Consider the following 19,930-nt stretch of genomic DNA (forward strand, 5'->3'; position numbering starts at 1 on the left):
AGGGGGCGAGGAGGTGTGAGCCCCTGCCAGGAACCCCCTGCCCGGACCAAGTGCTCGGCCCCCAGGCCTGCGTTCAGTGAGGCCTCCCGTGGCGTCAGCATGTTCGTGTGGAGGAATGTGGAAGGTCACTCTGCGGCCGTGTTCTCCTGGTACTCCATCCCCTTCCTGACCCCTCCCTGCAGCCACACGAGGCCCAGCAACCTGCCAGTCACTCAGTGGCCTCCAACCAGAGAAAACAACCTGCCAAGTTGGCAGCTGTTGCTCATGAGCGTCCACCAGGTGGGACAGGGAGTGTTGACCCTGGGCGGCCCCCTGGAGCCACCTGCCCTGAAAGCCCAGGGCCCGCAACCCCACACACTTTGGGGTTGGTGGAACCTGGTAAAAGCTCACCTCCCACCATGGAGGAGGAGCCCTGGGCCCCTCAGGGGAGTCCCTGCTGGACAGTGAGACAGAGAATGACCATGATGATGCTTTCCTCTCCATCATGTCTCCTGACACCCAGTTGCCTCTACCACTCAGATGATGTCAGGCCCAGTCCCTCAGTGCCCTGCGCAAGGAACAGGACTCATCTTCTGAGAAGGATGGACGCAGCCCCAACAAATCAGACAAGGACCACATCCGGTGGCCCATGAGTGGCGCTCATGATCTTCAGCAGGCGGCACCAGGCCCTGGCGGGGCGCACCAGGGTCACCCCAACCAGGATAACCGGACCGTCAGCCAGATGCTGAGCGAGCGGTGGTACACCCTGGGGCCCAATGAGATGCAGAAATACAACCTGGCCTTCCAGGTGAAGGTGGCCCACTTGCAACAAGGACCGAAAGAAGTCCAGCTCAGAGGCCAAGCCCACAAGCCAGGGGCTAGCAGGAGTGTAACAAGGGCTCGTGGGAGCGGAGCATATCAGAGACGGGCACTGCCACTGCCCCTGGGGTGTCCTCTGAACTCCTGTCAGTTGCAGCCCAAACACTCCAGAGCTCGGATACCAAGGAGCAGCTTCTGTGGGGCAGAACGGCTGCACACAGTCAGGGAACCTGGCTCAGCCTGGCCCAAGCCTTCTCCCACAGCGGGGTACACAGCCTGGACGGCAGGGAAATAGACCGTCAGGCACTACGGGAACTGACACAGGTGGTGTCTGGCACTGCATCATACTCTGGCCCAAAGCCTTCTACTCAGCATGGAGCTCCAGGCCACTTTGCAGCCCCTGGTGAGGGAGGTGACCCGTGGGCAGCCCTGCTGCCGCCCACGTGAGCTGCTCATTCCCAGCACATGGCCAGCGAGGTCATAGCGAGTGACGAAGAGCACACGGTCATCCATGAGGAGGAGGGGGTGATGATGTCATTGCTGATGATGGCTTTAGCACCACCGACACCGATCTCAAGTTCAAGGAGTGGGTGACCGACTGAGAGTGGGGACAACTCTGGGGAGGAGCCAGAGGGCAACAAGGGCTTTGGTGGGAAGGTATTTGCACCTGTCATTCCTTCCTCCTTTACTCCTGCCGCCCCTTGCTGGATCCTGAGCCCCCAGGGTCCCCCGATCCACCTGCAGCTTTTGGCAGTCTATGGTCACACCCTGTCCTCCTCCTACACATACTCGGATGCTTCCTCCTCAACCTTGGCACCCACCTCCTTCTTACTGGGCCCAGGAGCCTTCAAAGCCCAGGAGTCTGGTCAACGCAGCAGAGCGGGCCCCCTACGGCCCCAACCCCTGGGGATGGGGGCCCAGGGACGCCTTCCAAGGTGGCCTGTTTCCTCCCAATGGATCCTGCCACCTTCTGGTGCAAGAGACCTGAAAGTGTGGGCGACCTGGAGCTACCAGGCTCCTCAGTCATCAGGGTCCCTCCCAACACTAAGGCTTTCCTAGGCAGGAGCTGGGCTGAGCCACCCGGGGGGCAGAGCCTGAAGAGAAACTGACTGGGCTTTCGGGGTCGGGGCAGAGGGAACCCCACGGACATGGACCCCACACTGGAGGACCCCACCGCGCCCAAATGCAAGATGAGAAGATGCTCCAGCTGCAGTCCAAAGCCCAACACCCCCAAGTGTGCCATGTGTGATGGGGACAGCTTCCCCTTTGCCTGTACAGGTGGAGAAGCCGAGGACAGGCTCAGGGAACCGGAGACCAAGAAGGCGCTGTCCTCTTCACTGCATGTACCCTGGACCAGTGCCGGCCCTGATCATGCAGCTCTTCCAGGCCCACTGCTTCTTCCTGTCCACTAGGCCACAGCCGCCCTCCAGGCCCACTATGCACACATCTTCCCCTCCAAGGTTTGTTCTGCCCCTGCCCTGACTCCCAGCCCTGTGGGGGTCCTGACCGCACCTCACCTGGCTCAGACTCTTGACGCTGCCCTGGCTGCCCCACCAGTGCTTCTGCCCGAGAGTCACGTGAGGCTGAGAGTAGGGGCAGGGGCAGCAGTGGTGCCAGTTGGGGGGCGGTCCAGTGGGAGGAGCCTCAGCCTCGCAGGCTGCTCCGTGGGACTGATGACTGCATGATCTTCTGGGCACCTCACGGATCTTCAACTGCAGGTGAAACGGATGCTGGTGGTGGGTGCAGGGCCGCTGGGAGCTGCTGCATGGTTCCCAGAGGCTGGACTGAGGCAGGTGCCAACTGAAGCTGCTGGGGCAGCATGGGCAGGATGTTCTGCACACAAACCTTGGAGAAGAAGATGTGTGCATAGCAGGTCCACTGCTGCTGCCCCTGCCCTGACTCCCAGCCCTGCCTGACCCCACCTCAACCTGCTCAGGCTCTGGCACAACCCTGGCTGCCCTGCCACTGCCTCTGCCCCAGAGTTGGTGCCTTGACAGCCTGGTTGGAAGGGGACACCCCAGCCCTGCCTCAACACCTGGGGGTCTCCATAACTAGCACAGGCAGGTGGGCAACCCCAAAGATCCCAGGACTCACAGTACCCCCTGAGAACATGGACAGTATGTGGGGGTAGCAATGGAGGGCAGGATGGTTATCTTCTCCCAGGTGAAGCCATTTAATCCTTTCAGTTTGGGACGGAGTAAGGCCTTCCTTTTTTTTTTTTTTTTTTTTTTTTTTTTTGAGACCGAGTCTTGCTCTGTCGCCCAGGCTGGAGTGCAGTGGTGCGATCTTGGCTCACTGCAACCTCTTCCCGCTGGGTTCACGCCATTCTCCTGCCTCAGCCTTCCGGGTAGCTAGGATTACAGGTGGACGCTACCACGTCCGGCTAATTTTTGTATTTTTAGTACAGACGGGGCTTCATCATCTTGGCCAGGCTGATTTCGATCTCCTGACATCGTGATCTGCCTGCCTCCCCCTCCCAAAGTGCTGGGATTACAGGCGTGAGCCACCACGCCTGGCCAAGGCCTGCTCCTCTTATCTATACCCCCTACCCCTGCAGCTGTGCCGGGGGAAAGCTGGGCAGTTTCCCTCCTCCGAGCCCCTGTACATACCATGAATTGTGGGACCTTCAGAGCTTTTCACTTTTCGGAAAATAGCTCCTGCTGGGGCTACAAGATGGAGTGTGAAGAGGGCCTTGGGCCACAGGGAGGCGCCTGTGGACTAGGGGGAGTTCATGCACCCCTTCTTTCCCCAGAGGGGCTGGACTCAGGTGAGTATGGGGGTGGGGGCTCCTGCACTTCGACACAGGCAGCAGGAGGGTTTTCTCCCCATTCCCTCTGCACTCCCAACTTGAGCTATACTTTTTAAGAAAGTGATTCACCCTGCCTTTGCCCCCTTCCCCAGAACAGAACACGTTGATCGTGGGCGATATTTTTCATTGTGCCAAAAAGTTGCCATGACCGTCATTAAACCTGTTTAACACCAAATAATAAGGAAAATAAAATAAAAAATTCGGGCTTGGCGCAGAAACTCACTCCAAATAAATTACCTACCAAAACATTTACATAATGGTGGAAATATTCCAAAATTCAATATTTTGGGATTTATACACAAAAGATAAACAAATTAGAGGCCAAGAGGCTGCCGGAAGGGAAAAACAGGGCCTGGAATGGCCGACGTGAGGAATGAGCTGGGCCTAAAGAGGCCACTGGCAGGCAGGAGCTGGACCTGCCGAAGTGGCCGAAAGGCAGGAGCTTTGGACTGGGGAGGCCGCAGTGAGGCGAGAGCTAGCTGGGCGTGGAGAGTCCGCTGTGAGGCCGAGGCCGAGGCTGGGCCCGTGCAGGCCTTCGAGACGCAGGAGGCCGGGCCTGCAAAGGCCGACTGGAGATCAAGTTCTGCGCCTGAAGAGGCTGCCAAAAGTCAAAAGCGGGGCCTGGGAAGGCCGCCGAGAGCCATGAGCTGGGCTGGGCCGAAAGAGGCCACTGGGAGGCAGGAGGAGCTGGGCCTGGAGAGGCTGACTCGAGGAAGTTTTGCACCTGGAGAGGCCGTCGAGAGGACGGAGCTGGGCCCAGGGAGGCCGACTTGCTGCTCTTCCAGGCCCACTTCCAGGCCGACTTGAGGACGACTTGGGCCTGCAGAGGCCGCCGGGAGGCTGGAGCTAAGCCTGGAGAGACTGACTTCGGGACGATTTGGGCCTGCGGAGGCCGCCGGGAGGCCCAAGCTGGGCCTAGAGGAGCCCACCGACCGGAGGCCATTTGGGGCCTGCAGATGTCATCGGAGGGCCAGGAGCTGAGCCTGGAGAGGCCACCGCGAGGCCTGAGCTGGGCCTGGGGAGCTTGGCTTAGGGAAGTTGTGGGCCTACCAGGGCCGCTGGGAGCTGGGCAGGAGCTGAGTCCAAAGACGTTGTTGGGACCTGGAGTCGGGCCAGAGTCCGGCCTGGAGATGCAGCCGGGAGGAAGAGCTGGGCCCGGAGGGGGCGCCGGGAGGCTGCAAGTGGGTCTGAGAGGCCAACTTGAGGAGGCCTGGCCTCTGCCTCCCGCATTGCCCAGCTGTTCCTCCTGGCTGCATCTCCCACCTCCCAGCAAACAAGCTCTTTTGGCTCAGCTCCCGCCTGCGTTTGTAGACCCCAAAGTTTCTGCAACCAAGCTCTTCAGACCCACATCCCTTCTCCCAGTGACTGAACAGTCCCAGCTCCGGCTGGAGAAGGGTGTCTGCAGACCCCGCTGTTGCCTCCCAGGGGAGTCTCCAGGCCCAGCTCTCGCCCCACCGCGACCTCCCAGGCCCAAGTCCCTGCCTACCTCCCAGCAGCCCGAGTGCGATCCTGTTCCTCCCTCACGGTGGCCTGTTGAGGCAGGGGGTCACGCTGACCTCTGTCCGCGTGGGAGGGGCCGGTGTGAGGCAAGGGCTCACACTGACCTCTCTCAGCGTGGGAGGGGCCGGTGTGAGGCAAGGGGCTCACGCTGACCTCTGTCCGCGTGGGAGGGGCCGGTGTGAGGCAAGGGCTCACACTGACCTCTCTCAGCGTGGGAGGGGCCGGTGTGAGGCAAGGGGCTCACGCTGACCTCTGTCCGCGTGGGAGGGGCTGGTGTGAGGCAAGGGCTCAGGCTGACCTCTCTCAGCGTGGGAGGGGCCGGTGTGAGGCAAGGGGCTCACGCTGACCTCTGTCCGCGTGGGAGGGGCCGGTGTGAGACAAGGGGCTCACACTGACCTCTCTCAGCGTGGGAGGGGCCGGTGTGAGGCAAGGGGCTCAGGCTGACCTCTGTCCGCGTGGGAGGGGCCGGTGTGAGGCAAGGGGCTCAGGCTGACCTCTGTCCGCGTGGGAGGGGCCGGTGTGAGGCAAGGGGCTCAGGCTGACCTCTGTCCGCGTGGGAGGGGCCGGGGTGAGGCAAGGGCTCACACTGACCTCTCTCAGCGTGGGAGGGGCCGGTGTGAGGCAAGGGGCTCGGGCTGACCTCTCTCAGCGTGGGAGGGGCCGGTGTGAGGCAAGGGGCTCGGGCTGACCTCTCTCAGCGTGGGAGGGGCCGGTGTGAGGCAAGGGGCTCGGGCTGACCTCTGTCCGCGTGGGAGGGGCCGGTGTGAGGCAAGGGGCTCGGGCTGACCTCTCTCAGCGTGGGAGGGGCCGGTGTGAGGCAAGGGGCTCACGCTGACCTCTGTCCGCGTGGGAGGGGCCGGTGTGAGGCAAGGGCTCACACTGACCTCTCTCAGCGTGGGAGGGGCCGGTGTGAGACAAGGGGCTCACGCTGACCTCTGTCCACGTGGGAGGGGCCGGTGTGAGGCAAGGGGCTCACACTGACCTCTCTCAGCGTGGGAGGGGCCGGTGTGAGGCAAGGGGCTCACGCTGACCTCTGTCCGCGTGGGAGGGGCCGGTGTGAGGCAAGGGCTCACACTGACCTCTCTCAGCGTGGGAGGAGCCAGTGTGAGGCAGGGGCTCACGCCTCTGGGCAGGGTGCCAGAGGCATGAGTTGGGCATCAACAGGCCACCGTGAGGGAGGAGCTGGGCCGCACGCGGGCTGCTGGGAGGCAGGCAGGGACTTGGCCCCGGGAGGCCGCCGTGGGGGCAAGAGCTGGGCCTGGAGAGGCCCCTGGGAGGCAAGGGCGGGGCCTGCAGAGGCTGTTCTCCAACCAGTGCTAGAACTGTACAGGCCACCAGGAGGCAGGAGGTGGGCCCTCAGAGCTTGGCTGGAGAAAGTTCGGGGCCTACAAAGGCGGTTGGGAGCTGGGCAGGAGTTGAGCCAAAAGAGCTTGCTTACTTGCTGGGAGGCAGGGCCGGGAGAGCCCGACTTCAGGACAACTTGGGCCTGCGGCGGTCGCCGGGAGGCCCAACCTTGGCGTGGAGGAGCCCACCGACCGGAGACCATTTGGGGCCTGGAGATGCCATCGGAGGGCAGGAGCTCATCCTGGAGAGGCCACCGTGAGGCCTGACCTGGGCCTGGGGAGCTTGGCTTGAGGAAGCTGTGGACCGACCAAGGCCGCCAGGAGATGGGTAGGCACTGAGTCCAAAGAGGTTGTTGAGAGGCAGGAATCGGGCCTGGAGACCCAACCAGGAAGAAGAGCTGGGCCCGGAGAGAACGCCCGGAGGGTGCAAGTGGGTCTGGAGAGGCCGACTTGAGGAGGTTCTGGGCCCGGAGAGGCCGCTGGAAGGGAAAAACTGGGCCTGGAAAGGCCGTTGTCAGGAATGAGCCCCATGGGCCTGAAGAGGCCACTGGCAGGCGGGAGCTGGGCCTGCCGAAGCGGCCGAGAGGCAGGAGCTTTGGACTCGGGAGGCCGCAGTGAAGCAACAGCTAGCTGGGCGTGGAGAGTCCGCTGTGAGGCAGAGGCTGGGCCTGTGCAGGCCTTCGGGAGGCAGGAGGCTGGGCCTTGTCGAGGCCTGCAGAGGCCACCGAAAGTCAAAAGCGGGGCTTGGGAAGGCCGCCGGGAGGCATGAGCTGGGCTGGGCCGAAAGAGGCCACTGGGAGGCAGGAGGAGCTGGGCCTGGAGAGGCTGCCGAAAGGCAGGAGCTTCACCTGAGGATGCCACAGTGAGACACCATCTGGGTCTGGAGGGTCCACTGTGAGGCAGAGGCTGACCTGTAGAGTCCGACAGTAGACAGAAGTTGGGCAAAAGCCTGATTTGAGGAAGTTTTGGGCTTCAAGAGTCAGCCACGAGGCAGGCACTAGGCCTGGAAATGGCCTCACAGTCATAAGTTGGGCCTAAATGGGCCACTGTGAGGGAGGAGCTGTGCCTGTTGAGGCTGCTGGCAGGCAGGCAGAAATTTGGCCTGGGGCAGCTGCCATGAGGCAAGAGCTGGGCCTGGAAAAAGCCCCTGGGAGGCAAGAGCAGGGCCTGCAGAGGCTGTTCTCAAGTCAAAGCTGGGCCTGTTGATGCCACCGGGAAGCAGAAGGTGGGCCTGGAGAGTTTGACTTGAGGAAGTTTTGGGCCTACATTGGCCGCCATTAGCTGGACAGGAACTGGGCCAAAAAAGGCTGTTGTGAGGCAGCAGTTGTGCCTGTAGACCCAGCCAAGAGGAAGAGGTGGGCCTGGAGAAGCCCCCATGAGGCAGAGGTTGGGCCTGTAGACGCTGACAGGAGGCAGGAGCTGGGCCTGGACAGGTCAACTTGAGGAGATTTTGGGCCTTCATAGGCCACCAGGAGGCAGCAGTTGGGACTAGAGAGTCTGACTTGAGTAAGTTTTGGGCCCGGAGATGATGTCCTGGGACAGGAGTTGGCCGTGGAGAGGCCACCGTGAGGCATAAGCTGGATGTAGAGAGGCCAGTGTGAGGCAAGACCTGGGCCTGTCTAGGCTGCTGGGAGACAGGCAGGAATCTGGCCAGGGAAGGTTGCCATGAGACAAAAGTTGGGCCTGGAAAGGCCCTTGTGAAGCATGAGCTTGGCCTAAAGAGGCCACTGGGTGGCAGGAGCTGGGTGTGTAGAAGCTGCTGAAAGGTTGGGAGCTTGGCTTGGGGGGTCCACAGTGAGGTAGAAGCTGGGCGTGAAGAATCTGCTGTGAGGCAGACGTTGGGACTGTAGAGGCTGACGGGAGGCAGAGGCTGGGCCTGGAGGGGCCACCAAGATGCAGGAGCTGGGCCTGGAGAGGCTGCAAAGAAGCATGAGCTGGGCCTGGTGAGGTCAACTTGAGAAAGTTCAGGGCCTGGAGAGAAGGCTGGGAGGCAGGAGCTGGGTCTAAAGAGGCCATTGTAACGATGGAGCTGTGCCTGTGGAGGCTGTTGTGAGGCAGTAGCCTCATCTGCGGAGGCTGCCGTGACGTAGGGTATGGGCCTAAATAGGCCATTGAGAGTCATGAGCTTGGTCTGTAGAGGCTGACTGGAGAAAGTTCTGGGCCTGGAGAGGCTGCCGGGAGGTAGGAGCTGGGCCAAAAGATGTAAGCACATTTGCATTTATTAGGCACTTTATTTCCATTATTACACTGTAATATATAATAAAATAATTATGGAACTCACCATAATGTAGAATCAGTGGGCGTGTTAAGCTTGTTTTCCTGCAACTGGATGTTCCCACCTGAGCGTGATGGGAGAAAGTAACAGATCAATAGGTATTAGATTCTCATAAGGACAGCGCAACCTCGATCCCTCACATGCACGGTTCACAACAGGGTGCGTTCTCCTATGAGAATCTAATGCTGCTGCTCATCTGAGAAGGTGGAGCTCAGGCGGGAATGTGAGCAAAGGGGAGTGGCTGTAAATACAGACGAAGCTTCCCTCACTCCCTCACTCGACACCGCTCACCTCCTGCTGTGTGGCTCCTTGCGGCTCCATGGCTCAGGGGTTGGGGACCCCTGCTCAAGTGCATCCAAAACGACCCTTCCCACACCAGTCTTCACAGTGGTCAAGGGCAGCAACCACTTAGCTCCCAAGGCATGTGCCTCAGCTGGCATTTCGTCACAATCAACAGTAAGTGGTAGCTTGAGTCACTGTGAGGTCACCTACTGGAAATCACCAGCATCCCATTTCCCACTGGCAAAGAGCTCAGCACTGCCCCCTGGGAAACCAAACCTATGCCCAAATCCCATCTGTGTGGGTTTACCTCCTGGGACCCTTCCTAACATATAACCTTCATAACATACTTGAGAGGCTGAGGTGAGACAATCGATTTAGCCCAGGAGTTTGAGATCAGCCTGGACGACATAACTAAATCTCATCTCTACAAGGACGAGGTGGGAGGATCACTTGAGCCCAGGAATTTGTGGCCAGCCTGGGCAACAAAAGAAGACCCCATCTGGCCAACATGGCCAACCTGGCCACCACGGTGAAACTCTGACTCTACAAAAATGATCTGGGCATGGGTGACATGCGTGTGTAGTCCTAGCTACTTGGGAGGTTGAGATGGGAGGATTGCTTGATCTCAGAAGGCCAAAGCTATAGTGAGCTATGATCACATCACTGCACTCCAGCCTGGATGGCACAGGAAGATTCTGTCTCAAAAAAAAGAAAAGAAATATATATTTAATCTCTGTCCCTGGTTCCTGGCACAGAGCTTCTAAAGCTCTTACAAAGACCTCAGTGATAGATGTGACAGGAGCATCTTTTGTTTTAATATTTGGTCTTGGTCCCAGGTTTCTAACACAAGAGCCTCTAAGAACTTTGGGATCTCCAGCATGGTAAGAATGCATTTGGGGATGTTGTTGAGATGACTGGGTGACTGCAAGCTCCTAAATTTCTTCAAGAGGAGGGCTGATTACCATGCAACCACATGGTAAGAGGCTTGGAACTTTCAGCCTCATGCACTGAACTCCAGGGGGAAGAGGGGCTGGAGACTGACTTAATCACCAACAGCCAAAGGTTTTATCAATCATGCTTGCATAATAAAGCCTCCATAAACACCCTGAAAGGGGTTTGCAGAGCTTTCAGGGTTGCTGGACACAGGAGATGCTGGGAGGGTCGCATGTTCAACAGAGGGCATGGGAGCTCTGTGCCCCTCCGAACTTAACTTGCCCTGGGTATCTTTCTTTTTTTTGAGACAGGATCAGGCTCTTTTGTCCAAGCTGGAGTGCAGTGGCACAATCTCAGCTTACTGTAACCTAAGCCTCCCCAGTCCCCAGCTCAAGGTATCCTCTCATCTCAGCTTCCCTAGTAGTTGGAACTCTAGGTGCACAACACCACACCAGTTATTATTATTATTTTTTAATTTTTTATAGAGACAGGTTTTCACCATGTTGCCCAGGCTGGTCTCAAACTCCTGAGTTTAAGCGATCCTCCCACCTTGGCCTCCCAAAGTGCTGAGATTACAGGCATGAGCCACTGCATCCAGCATGCACGTCTCTTTCATTGACTGTTTCTGAGATGTATCCTTCACAATGAACCAGTAATAGGAAATGAACTGGCCAGATGTGGTGGCTCACATCTGTAATCCCAGCACTTTCAGAGGCTGAGGTGGGAGGATCACTTGAGACCAGGAATTTGTGGCCAGCCTGGCCAACACAACAAGACCCCATCTATACAAAAAATAAAAGAAACTAGCCAGATGTGGTGGTGCAGGCATGTAGTCTCAGCTACTAGGGAGGCTGAGGTGGGAGAACCACTGGAACCCAGACAATCAAGGCTGCAATGAGCTATGACTGCACCATTGCACACCAGCCTGGGCAACAAAATAAGACCCTCTCTCTCAGAAAAAAAGAAAATAAACTGTTTTTCTGAGTTCCGTAAACTGTTCTAGCAAATTATTAAACCCAAGAAGACAGTTACGGGAACCCCCGATTGGTAACAGGTTGGTCAAAAGTATGGTGACAACTTAGGACTTGCCATTGTCATCTGAAGTGAGGATGGCCTCGTGGGACTGAGCCCCTAACTTGTGGGGTCTGTGCTAACTCCAGGTAGTGTCAGAATAAAGTCATGGGATACCCAGTTAATATCCAGAGCACTGAAGAATCTGGTGTAGAAACTCCATACGTACATTCAGTCGGAAGTGTGTGAGTAGAGACAAACATGGGCTTTTCTGTCACCTACCTGCTTAACTGCATAGGAGAGGCAATATGTGGTGCTCATGAACAAAGCAAACATTAAAGTCAGACCAGACCCAACATTTGACTCAGTCTTAATATCCAGGTGAGCCTGCGCAAATCATTCATTATTCCTAAGGTTTTCATCACTCCATTCATAAAATGGGGATAACTGTGGCACCTACATGTGATTCTGTGAGAATTAACGAAATATTATGCTTGGGGTTATTGTGATCATTATACCTGTTCCAAACTATTTGACAAGGACAGTGATGGATGAAGACATCAAAAAATCAGAAACTGCAATGAGGTCTCTCAGGCAAAATTCCATACAAGCAAATTACTGTGTCTACAAAGCATTCCTGCCACACTTAATTCACCATTCCCTGAACAGAATATGCCATCTTCGTTGTTCAGGTCTGTACAGTGCTGGTTTCCCTTCCCGGACAGTTTGCGCTATCCCATCCCGGCCCATTCCCCATCCCTCCACCTCCCCCTTCCCTCCCCACTCTCATACAACTCTTCCTCATCTTTCAGGACTTGGCTTCAATGTCACCTTAACTGGAAGCTTCTCTCACTCTCCAGAAGAGCTTCCCATTGCACCTGATGCATGGGAAACATAATTTGATCATTTTTAAGTTACAGTCCAAATCTTTTTGTACCTGAATAACATGTTGCCCAGTCAGTCTCTCTTCCTGGATTCACAAGTCTTTCATGGTAGATCCAGCTGGAAGTGACAAAAAGACATCTTTTGACATAAAGGGATGACACAGACAGACATAAGTTCTTAAATGTCTTAAATGTTATGTGAGAATTAAACAGAATTCAAAGACTTGTGGGGAGCACTTAGGAAGTTACTGGGAATGTCATGAAGGGTTAATTTGTATTTTATTTTATTTTTTGAGACAGTCTCATTCTGTCACCTAGGCTGGAGTGCAGTGGTGCAATCAGGCTCACTGCAGCCTTGACCACCTGGGCTCAAGTAATCTCACTTAATTTTTATTTGGTTTAAGAAAGTCTTGGTTGAGGGTGGTGGCTTATGCCTGTAATCTCAGCACTTTGGGAGGCTGAGAGAGGTATATTACTTGAGGCCAGGAGTTTGAGATCAGACTGGGCAATATATTAAGACCCTGCCTCTACCAAAAAACAGAGTGAATGTGTGGAAGACAATTTTTCCACAGACTGGGAATGAGGGAATAATTTCAGGATGATTCAAGTGCATTACATATATTGTGCACTTTATTTCTATTATTACTACATAGTAATATATAATGAAATGATTCTACAACTCACTATAACGTAGACTCAGTGGGATCTCTGAGCTTGTTTTCCTGCAACTAGACTGTCCATCTGGGGTGATGGGAGACAGTAACAGAATATCAGGCATTAGATTCTCATAAGGAGTACACAACCTAGATCCCTCGCATGCACACTTCACAACAGAGTTTGTGCTCCTGTGAGAATCTAATGCTGCTGCTGATCTGACAGGACATGGAGCTCAGGTGGTCATGCAAGCGATGGGAGGGGCTAGAAATACAGATGAAGTTTCCCTTCACTCGCCTGCTGCTCACCTCCAGCTCTGTGGCCCTGTGGTTGGAGACCGCTGCTCAAGTGCATTTGAAAGGAACCAACCCACGCCATTCTTCAGAGTCATCTTTACTGCTGCAGTGGTCAACTTGTAGCACCCCTAAGCTCGCAGGACATATGCTTCAACTGGCATTTCACAATCAACAGTATGTGGCAGCTTGAGTCATTGTGAGCTCACATCCTGGAAATCACCAGCATCCCATATCCCATTGCAAGGAGCTCAGCACTGCTCCTTGGATAACCAAACCTATTCCCAAATCCCATCTGTGTGCGTCTATCTCCTGGTACCCTTCCTAGCATCAATTCTGTATTTGTAGGAGTCCAATCAGGAGACACAAACCACTCAAAAGTTTAAACTAGAATGAGCAAGATGGCTCACACCTGTAATCCCAGAACTCTGGGAGGCCAAGGTGGGTGGACTGCTTTGAGCTCAGGAGTTTGAGAACAGTCTGGGAAACATGGCGAAACCTCGTCTCTACAAAAAACACAAAAATCAGCTGGGTGTGGTGGCACTTACCTGTAATCCCAGCTACTCGGGAGGCTGAGGCAGGAGAATTGCTTGAGCCTGGCAGGTGGAGGCTGCAGTGAGCAGAGGTTGTGCCACTGTACTCCAGCCTGGGTGACAGTGTGAGACCCGGTATCAAAAAGAAAAAACGTATATATATATATATATATATATATATATATATATATATATATATATATGTAAATTTAATATAAAAAGTATTAATTTTGGCCAGGCAAAATGGCTCATGCCTGTAATCCCAGCACTTTGGGAGGCCAAGGCAGACAGATCACCTGAGGTCAGGAGTTCGAGACCAGCCTGACCAGCACAGAGAAACCCCATCTCTACTAAAAATACAAAATTAGCTGGGCATGGTGGCACATGCCTGTAATCCCAACTACTCGGGAGGCTGAGGCAGGAGAATTGCTTGAACCCAGAAGGTGGAGGTTGCGCTGAGCCGAGATAGCGCCATTGCACTCCAGCCTGGGCAACAAGAGTGAAACTCCATCTCAAAAAAAAAAAAGGGTATTAATTTTTACAGAGGATCAGCACAATGAGGGACACACTAGCACAAAGTAAAGACAACTCTAGAGAATACGGAACTAGCAGAGGCCAGGCATTGTGGCTCATGCCTGTAATCCCAGCAATTTGGGAAGCCTAGGCAGGAGGATCGCTTGAGGCCAGGAGTTGGAGACCAATCAGTGCTAAATAGTGAGACTCTGTGTCTACCAAAAAAAAGAGACATTAGCCAGGTGTGGTGGTGGTGCACACCCGTAGTTCCAGCTACTTGGGAGTCTGGGGTGGGAGAAATCCCTTGAGCCTGGGAAGTCTACACTACAGTGAGCCAAGATTGTGCCACTGCACTCCAGCCTGGGCGACAGAGTGAGACCCTGTCTTAGAAAGAAAAAAGAAAAGAAAGTGTTAATCCCCCTATGGGAATCTCCTCTTCTCCTGCCCTCTCTGGAACCTCACTTGTCAGTTCTTCCTCCCACTTTCCTGTATCTTTAACCTATCCCCCACTTTTAGCTCCTTCCCATCATCATTTAAATTACTCAAACTTCTTCTGTTTTAAAAACCTCTCCCTAAACTCAGGGAGAGGTCTTCTGCACACACATTGAGCCATCTGCTCTTCCCGGTGCCTTCTCTACAGCAGCCTGAGCCATGTCTCTAATCTATGAATCTCATCATGTTACTCCCCCATTTACATCACTTCTCCTTGCCTCAGGGATTAAGTCCAAACTCCTTAACAGCCCCTGCTCTGCCCTGCCTTGCAAGGCAGCCTCACTGCTTGCCCCTCTCCATTTCATCTGCTATGGAGTCCAACTGAGCCTCATCTGCCCCTTGAACGCACACTCTTTCTCCTCTGGGAGTCTCTGAAGTGGGTAATATCCTCTGCTTATAATATGCTTCCCCTTAAACCTCTACTCTCTTCCTAGCTAGCTTTGACTCCTCTGTCACTTGTCCGCTTTGGCATCACCTCCTCATAGAAGACTTCTATGACTCCCGAGATTCTCAGGAGCATGGCAGGTGAAGTGCTCCTCCCATGAATGGATGGAGATTAGGGAGTGTGTGTTATTCATGCTTAATTCACCAGTGCTTAGCTGAGTACCTGGCATAAAATAGTTACTGTGGTGGCCAAAGTAATAACCCCCACCGCCACCAATTGCTCATGTCCTATGTTACACAGCACAGTTACAGAGGAAGGGGGAATTAAGAGTGCAGATAAAATTAATGTTGCTCATCAGCTGACCTTAAAACAAGATTATCCTGGAGTATCTAGGAGAGCCCATGTAATTACAAGCATTCTTTAAAACTGGAAGAGGGAGGCAGAAGGTTAAGAACCAGAGACGGTGGGCACAATGGCTCATGCCTGTAATACCAATACTTTGGGAGGCCAGGGTAGGAAAATCCCTTGAGTGCAGGAGTTCAAGGTCAGCCATGGCAACATACTGAGGTCCCATCTCTACAACAAAATAAAAACAAAATTCACTGAGTGTCACGATGCTTACCTGTAGTCCCAGCTACTGGGAAGGCTGACATGGTAGGATTGCTTGAGCCTGGGAGTTTGAGGCTATAATGAGCCATGATAGGACCACTGAACTCCATCCTGAGTGACAGGGCAAGGTCCTGTTTCTGAAGAAAAAAAGGACATTGGAATCAGGGCCCTCTCCATCCTGAGGTGCCTACAAGGCATCTCTCTCTGCAAACGAGTAAACATCACCCTCCAACTCCTTACAGAGTGGAGCAACAGGAAAACTCCTTCACCTCATTTCTGTGCTGCTTGGGAGGCCTGGACAGCCCAATAACCAGCTCCTCGCTGATGAAGCAATCAGGAAATGGCTCGAGTTGAGCTAAGGAGAATTTGGATCCTTCCTTTGGTTCTCAGTAGGCAGGGTAGGGGCCAGGCATGGTGGCTCATACCTGTAATCCTTGCACTGTGGGGGGCCAAGGTGAGAGGATTGCTTGAGGCCAGGAGCTCAAGACCAGCCTGGACAACATAGCAAGACCTGGGTGGCACACACCTGTGGTCCCTACTACTTGGTAGGATGAGGTGGGAGGATTGATCACTTGATCCCAGGAGTTTCAGGCTGCAGTGAGCCATGATCACACCACTGCACTTCAGCCTGGGTGACAGAGCCAGACCATGTCACAAAAAGTTAGAAAAAAAAAAGAGAGAGGGAGAGAGACTATACACAGGCACCACCACATTTGGCTAATTTTTAAATATTCTGTAGAGACAAGGTCTTGCTAGGTTGCCCAGGCTAGTCTAAAACTCCTGGCATCAGGCTGGGCATGGTGGCTCATGCTTGTAATCGCAGCACTTTGGGAAGCTAAGGCAGGCAAATCACCTGAAGTCTGGAGTTCGAGACCAGCCTGGCCAACACGGTGAAACTCTGACTCTATCAAAAATACAAAAATCAGCTGGGCAGTAGTGGCGTGTGCCTGTAGTCTCACCTACTCGGGAGGCTGAGGCAGGAGAATCACTTGAACCTGGGAGGTGGAGGTTGCAGTGGACCCCATCACTGCACTCCACCCTGGGTGACAGAGCGAGACTGTCAACAACAACAACAACAACAAAAACAAAAACAACAACAACAAAAAAAACTCCTGGCATCAAGACATCTTCCTGTCTTAGCCTCCCAAAGCCCTGGGATTATACTGTTTCCTATAATTGAAGACACTTGTTCTTATACTGCTTTAAGGTATAAAGGAAGAAAAAAAAAACAGATAATGGCAAATGTTGGTGAAGGCCGGGCATGGTGGCAGCCTGTAATTCCAGAACTTAGGGAGGCTGAGGTGGGCAGATCACTTGAGGCCAGGAGTATGAGACCAGCCTGGGCAACATGGTAAAATCCCACCACTACAGAAAAATCTAAAAATTAGCCAGGCATGGTGGCGTACACCTGTAATTTTCAGCTACCCAGGAGGCTGAGATGAGAGAATCACTTGTGCCTGGGAGGTCACGGCTGCAGTGAACTGTGATGGCATCATTGCACTGCGGCCTGAGAGACAGAGCAAGCCCCTATCTAGAAAAAAAAAATGTCAGTGAAGATGTGGAGGAATTGGAACCCACAAACATTACTGGTGGGAACATAAAATTGTGTAACCATTTTGTTTGGGTATTTCTTTTCTTGTCATTTTAATTGGATTTTTAAAAAATCAAGACGGGGTTTCACTATCTTGCCCAGGCTGGTCTTGAATTCACGGGCTCAAGCCATCCTCCTAGCTGAGCCTCCTGAGTAGCTGGGATTACAGGTGTGAGCCATTGCACCCAACTGGTATAGCCACGTTAGAAAACATTCTGGCAGTTTCTCAAAAGGCTAAATGTACAGTCATCCTATAATGCAACAATTTCACTCCTAGGCATATATCCCAGAAAAATAAAAATATATGTCCACACAAAAACTTGTACAACAATCTTCATAGCAGCATTATTCATAATGACCAATACATGGAATACATGGAAACAACCCAAATATCCACCAACTGATGAACAGATAAACAAAATGCAGTGTGTCTCTACCATGGAATACTGCCATAGAAGGAATGAAATATTGATACACACTATGACATAAAGGAACTTTGAAAACACTGTGCTAAGAGGGAAAAAAAGCCACAAAAGATCACATATTGTACAATTCTATTTGTCCAGATTAGGCAAATCTATAGTGACAAAAAAATTAATCAATGGTTGCCTAAGGCTGGGGGCAAAGGTAGGTGGGGAGAGTAGGAGGTAGTGGCTAAGGGGTATGGATTTCTCTATAGGGTAATGAAAGGTTCTAAAAGTGACTGTGGTGATCGATGCACAGCTCTGTGAATATTCTAAAACCTACTGAATTGCAGATTTCAATAAATAAAGTGAATGGTATGTGAATATTTTAATAAAGCTATTATTTAAAATAATAATAATAGGGGGCTGGGCACAGGTGGTCATGCCTGCCTGTAATCCCAGCACTTTGGGAGGCTGAGGCAGGAGGATCACTTGAGGTCAGGAGTTTTGAGCCCAGTCGGAGCAACATGGCAAGATCCCGTCTCTATGATAAAAAATTAGCTGGACATGGTGGCACATGTCTGTAGTCCCAGCTACTTGGGAGACTGAAGTGAGAGAACCACTTGAGCCCAGGAGTTTGAGGCTACAGTGAACCATGATCATGTCACTGTACTGTAGCCTAAGCAACAGAGCAAGACGCTGTCTCTGAAAAGGAAAGAAAACAAATGCAAGTTTTTATCACTTTGTGAGTGTAGCCAAGTTGGAGGAGAAATAGACAATAATAAAAGAGCACTGAATAATGACAGTGAGTGGCTGGTTAGGCTCAGTTGCTAGCTAAATGGCTTCTAAAAAATTCAATAAAGTTACAGCTCTGGGGACAGTCATGTAGTCAAAGAATGAAGGCGAAATTCATTACAATTGCCCATGGTCTTTATTTACATGCCTTCTAGTGAAAAATTCCTAAGTGCCTAAACAGCAAGTCTGCAATGATAGCAGCTGTTTATTAAAGACTACAAAAAAGAAATGGAGGCCGGGCGTGGTTGTTCACATCTGTACTCCTTGAATTTTGGGAGGCTGAGGCAGGCAGATTGCCTGAGGTCAGGAGCTCCAGAGGAGCCTGGCCAACATGGTGAAATCCCATCTCTACTAAAAATACAAAAATTAGCTGGGTATGGTGGCGGGCACCTGTAATCCCAGCTACTCGGGAGGCTGAGGCAGGAGAATTGCTTGAACCCAGAAGGTGAAGGTTGCAGTGAGCCAAAATCGCACCATTGCACTCCAGCCTGGGTGACAAGAGAAAGACTCTTATCTTAAAAAAAAAAAGAAAAAAAAGAAATGGCATCTTCTTCAAGAATTACATCGTGTTTCATGATAAAGAAGCTCTAATTTTGCATTTGTTCAAGTATTGATGAGATTTACCCAATATGACACCCATCTTGGATAAAATGCAAACAACACAATTTCATTTTGTCATTAACAAAACCGATTAAGTAGTCTAATATAAATTGCGATCTTATTAAAAACTGATCCGATTTAAAAAATTATGGAATTATGGAGCCAATAAGATGTTACAACCTGTTCCAAGGGGAATTCCAAAATCCACACATATCTGAGACCATCAAGTATGATGAAATATATTTGATTACTATATTGAAAAATAAACTGATTACATAGCCAACAATTGGACAGGGGTCTCCTCATCCACAGCCACACAAACCCGATCATGCAGCTGTATGGTTACAAGGCCTACATAGCCTAGAAGGGACTGGTCTGACTTGAGATTTCATTTGTATTTGTATTTTGAGACAGGGTCCCACTCTGTCACCCAGGATGGAGTGCAGTGGTATAATCATAGCTCACTGCAACCTTGACCAACTGGGCTCAAGAGATGCTCCTGCCTCAGCTGCCCCCATACCTGGGAATACAGGCAAGTATCACCATGTCAGGCATTTTTTTCATTTTTGTAGAGAGAGAAGACTTGCTATGTTGCCCAAGCTGGCCTCAAACTCCTAGAATCAAGAGATCTGCCCATCTCAGCCACATGAGTAACTGGGGCCATAGGTACATACCATCATGCCTGGCTATATTTATTTTATTTTATTAAATTTATTTTTTTTATTTTTGTAGAGAGGAGGTCTTGCTGTGTTGCCCAGGCTGCTCTCAAACTCATGGCCTTAAAACATACTCCCATCTCCTCTGCCTCTCAAACTGTTGGAACTATAGGTGTGAGCCACTGTACCTGGCCTGACTTGGGATTTCTTTTATCTAGCATCCTTTACTTGGTAGGATTGGGAAAAGCAGTAGTGTTTTTTAAAATTACTTAATAATTCAATCAGAATCAAACTCAACCTTGACCACTGCCTTCTCTCACAGCTCACATCCAGTCTGTCAGGAAATCCTACTGACTGACTTCAACATGTATCCAGGCTCTAACCATCTCTCACCACCACCATGAACCCCGTCAGGATCACTATCATCTCCCACCGGGATGTTGCCACAGCTTGGCTCCCATGCTTCTACCCAAATCTTCCCATAGTCTTTCTCAACTCGGCAGCCAGGTCGTGCTTTTAAATCAGGAGACGGATCATGTCGCCTCTCTGCTCAGAAGCCCTCGGTGGTTC

At 52.5% G+C, this 19,930-nt stretch overlaps 2 long non-coding RNA genes and 1 pseudogene across 9 annotated transcripts in view; 1 reads left to right on the plus strand and 2 right to left on the minus strand.

Annotated features, from left to right (window-relative positions):
• LOC124900384 (uncharacterized) overlaps positions 1-19,930 on the minus strand; it is a 54,398-nt gene that overhangs the window by 10,210 nt on the left and 24,258 nt on the right. For 2 of the 8 annotated variants that reach the window (XR_007065331.1, XR_007065327.1), the window contains one exon: positions 17,977-18,014. The exons of 1 other annotated variant lie outside the window; for it this stretch is intronic. This is a non-coding gene — a long non-coding RNA (uncharacterized LOC124900384). Of the gene's footprint in view, positions 1-15,241; positions 15,282-15,376; positions 15,452-17,975; positions 18,015-19,930 lie in introns of those variants that run through there. 5 more of the 8 variants (XR_007065328.1, XR_007065325.1, XR_007065330.1 and 2 more) reach the window with 5 other exon arrangements.
• Positions 10-3,778, plus strand: CICP27 (capicua transcriptional repressor pseudogene 27; annotated as a pseudogene).
• On the minus strand, positions 3,715-9,508 carry LOC729737 (uncharacterized). Its single transcript, NR_039983.2, has 3 exons — positions 9,017-9,508; positions 8,732-8,789; positions 3,715-8,638 (listed from the first exon to the last, which is right to left on the minus strand). It is a non-coding gene; the product is annotated as an uncharacterized LOC729737 (long non-coding RNA).

This window comes from Homo sapiens, chromosome 1 (genome assembly GCF_000001405.40).
Source record: "Homo sapiens chromosome 1, GRCh38.p14 Primary Assembly".
Classification (NCBI taxonomy): Eukaryota; Metazoa; Chordata; class Mammalia; order Primates; family Hominidae; genus Homo; species Homo sapiens.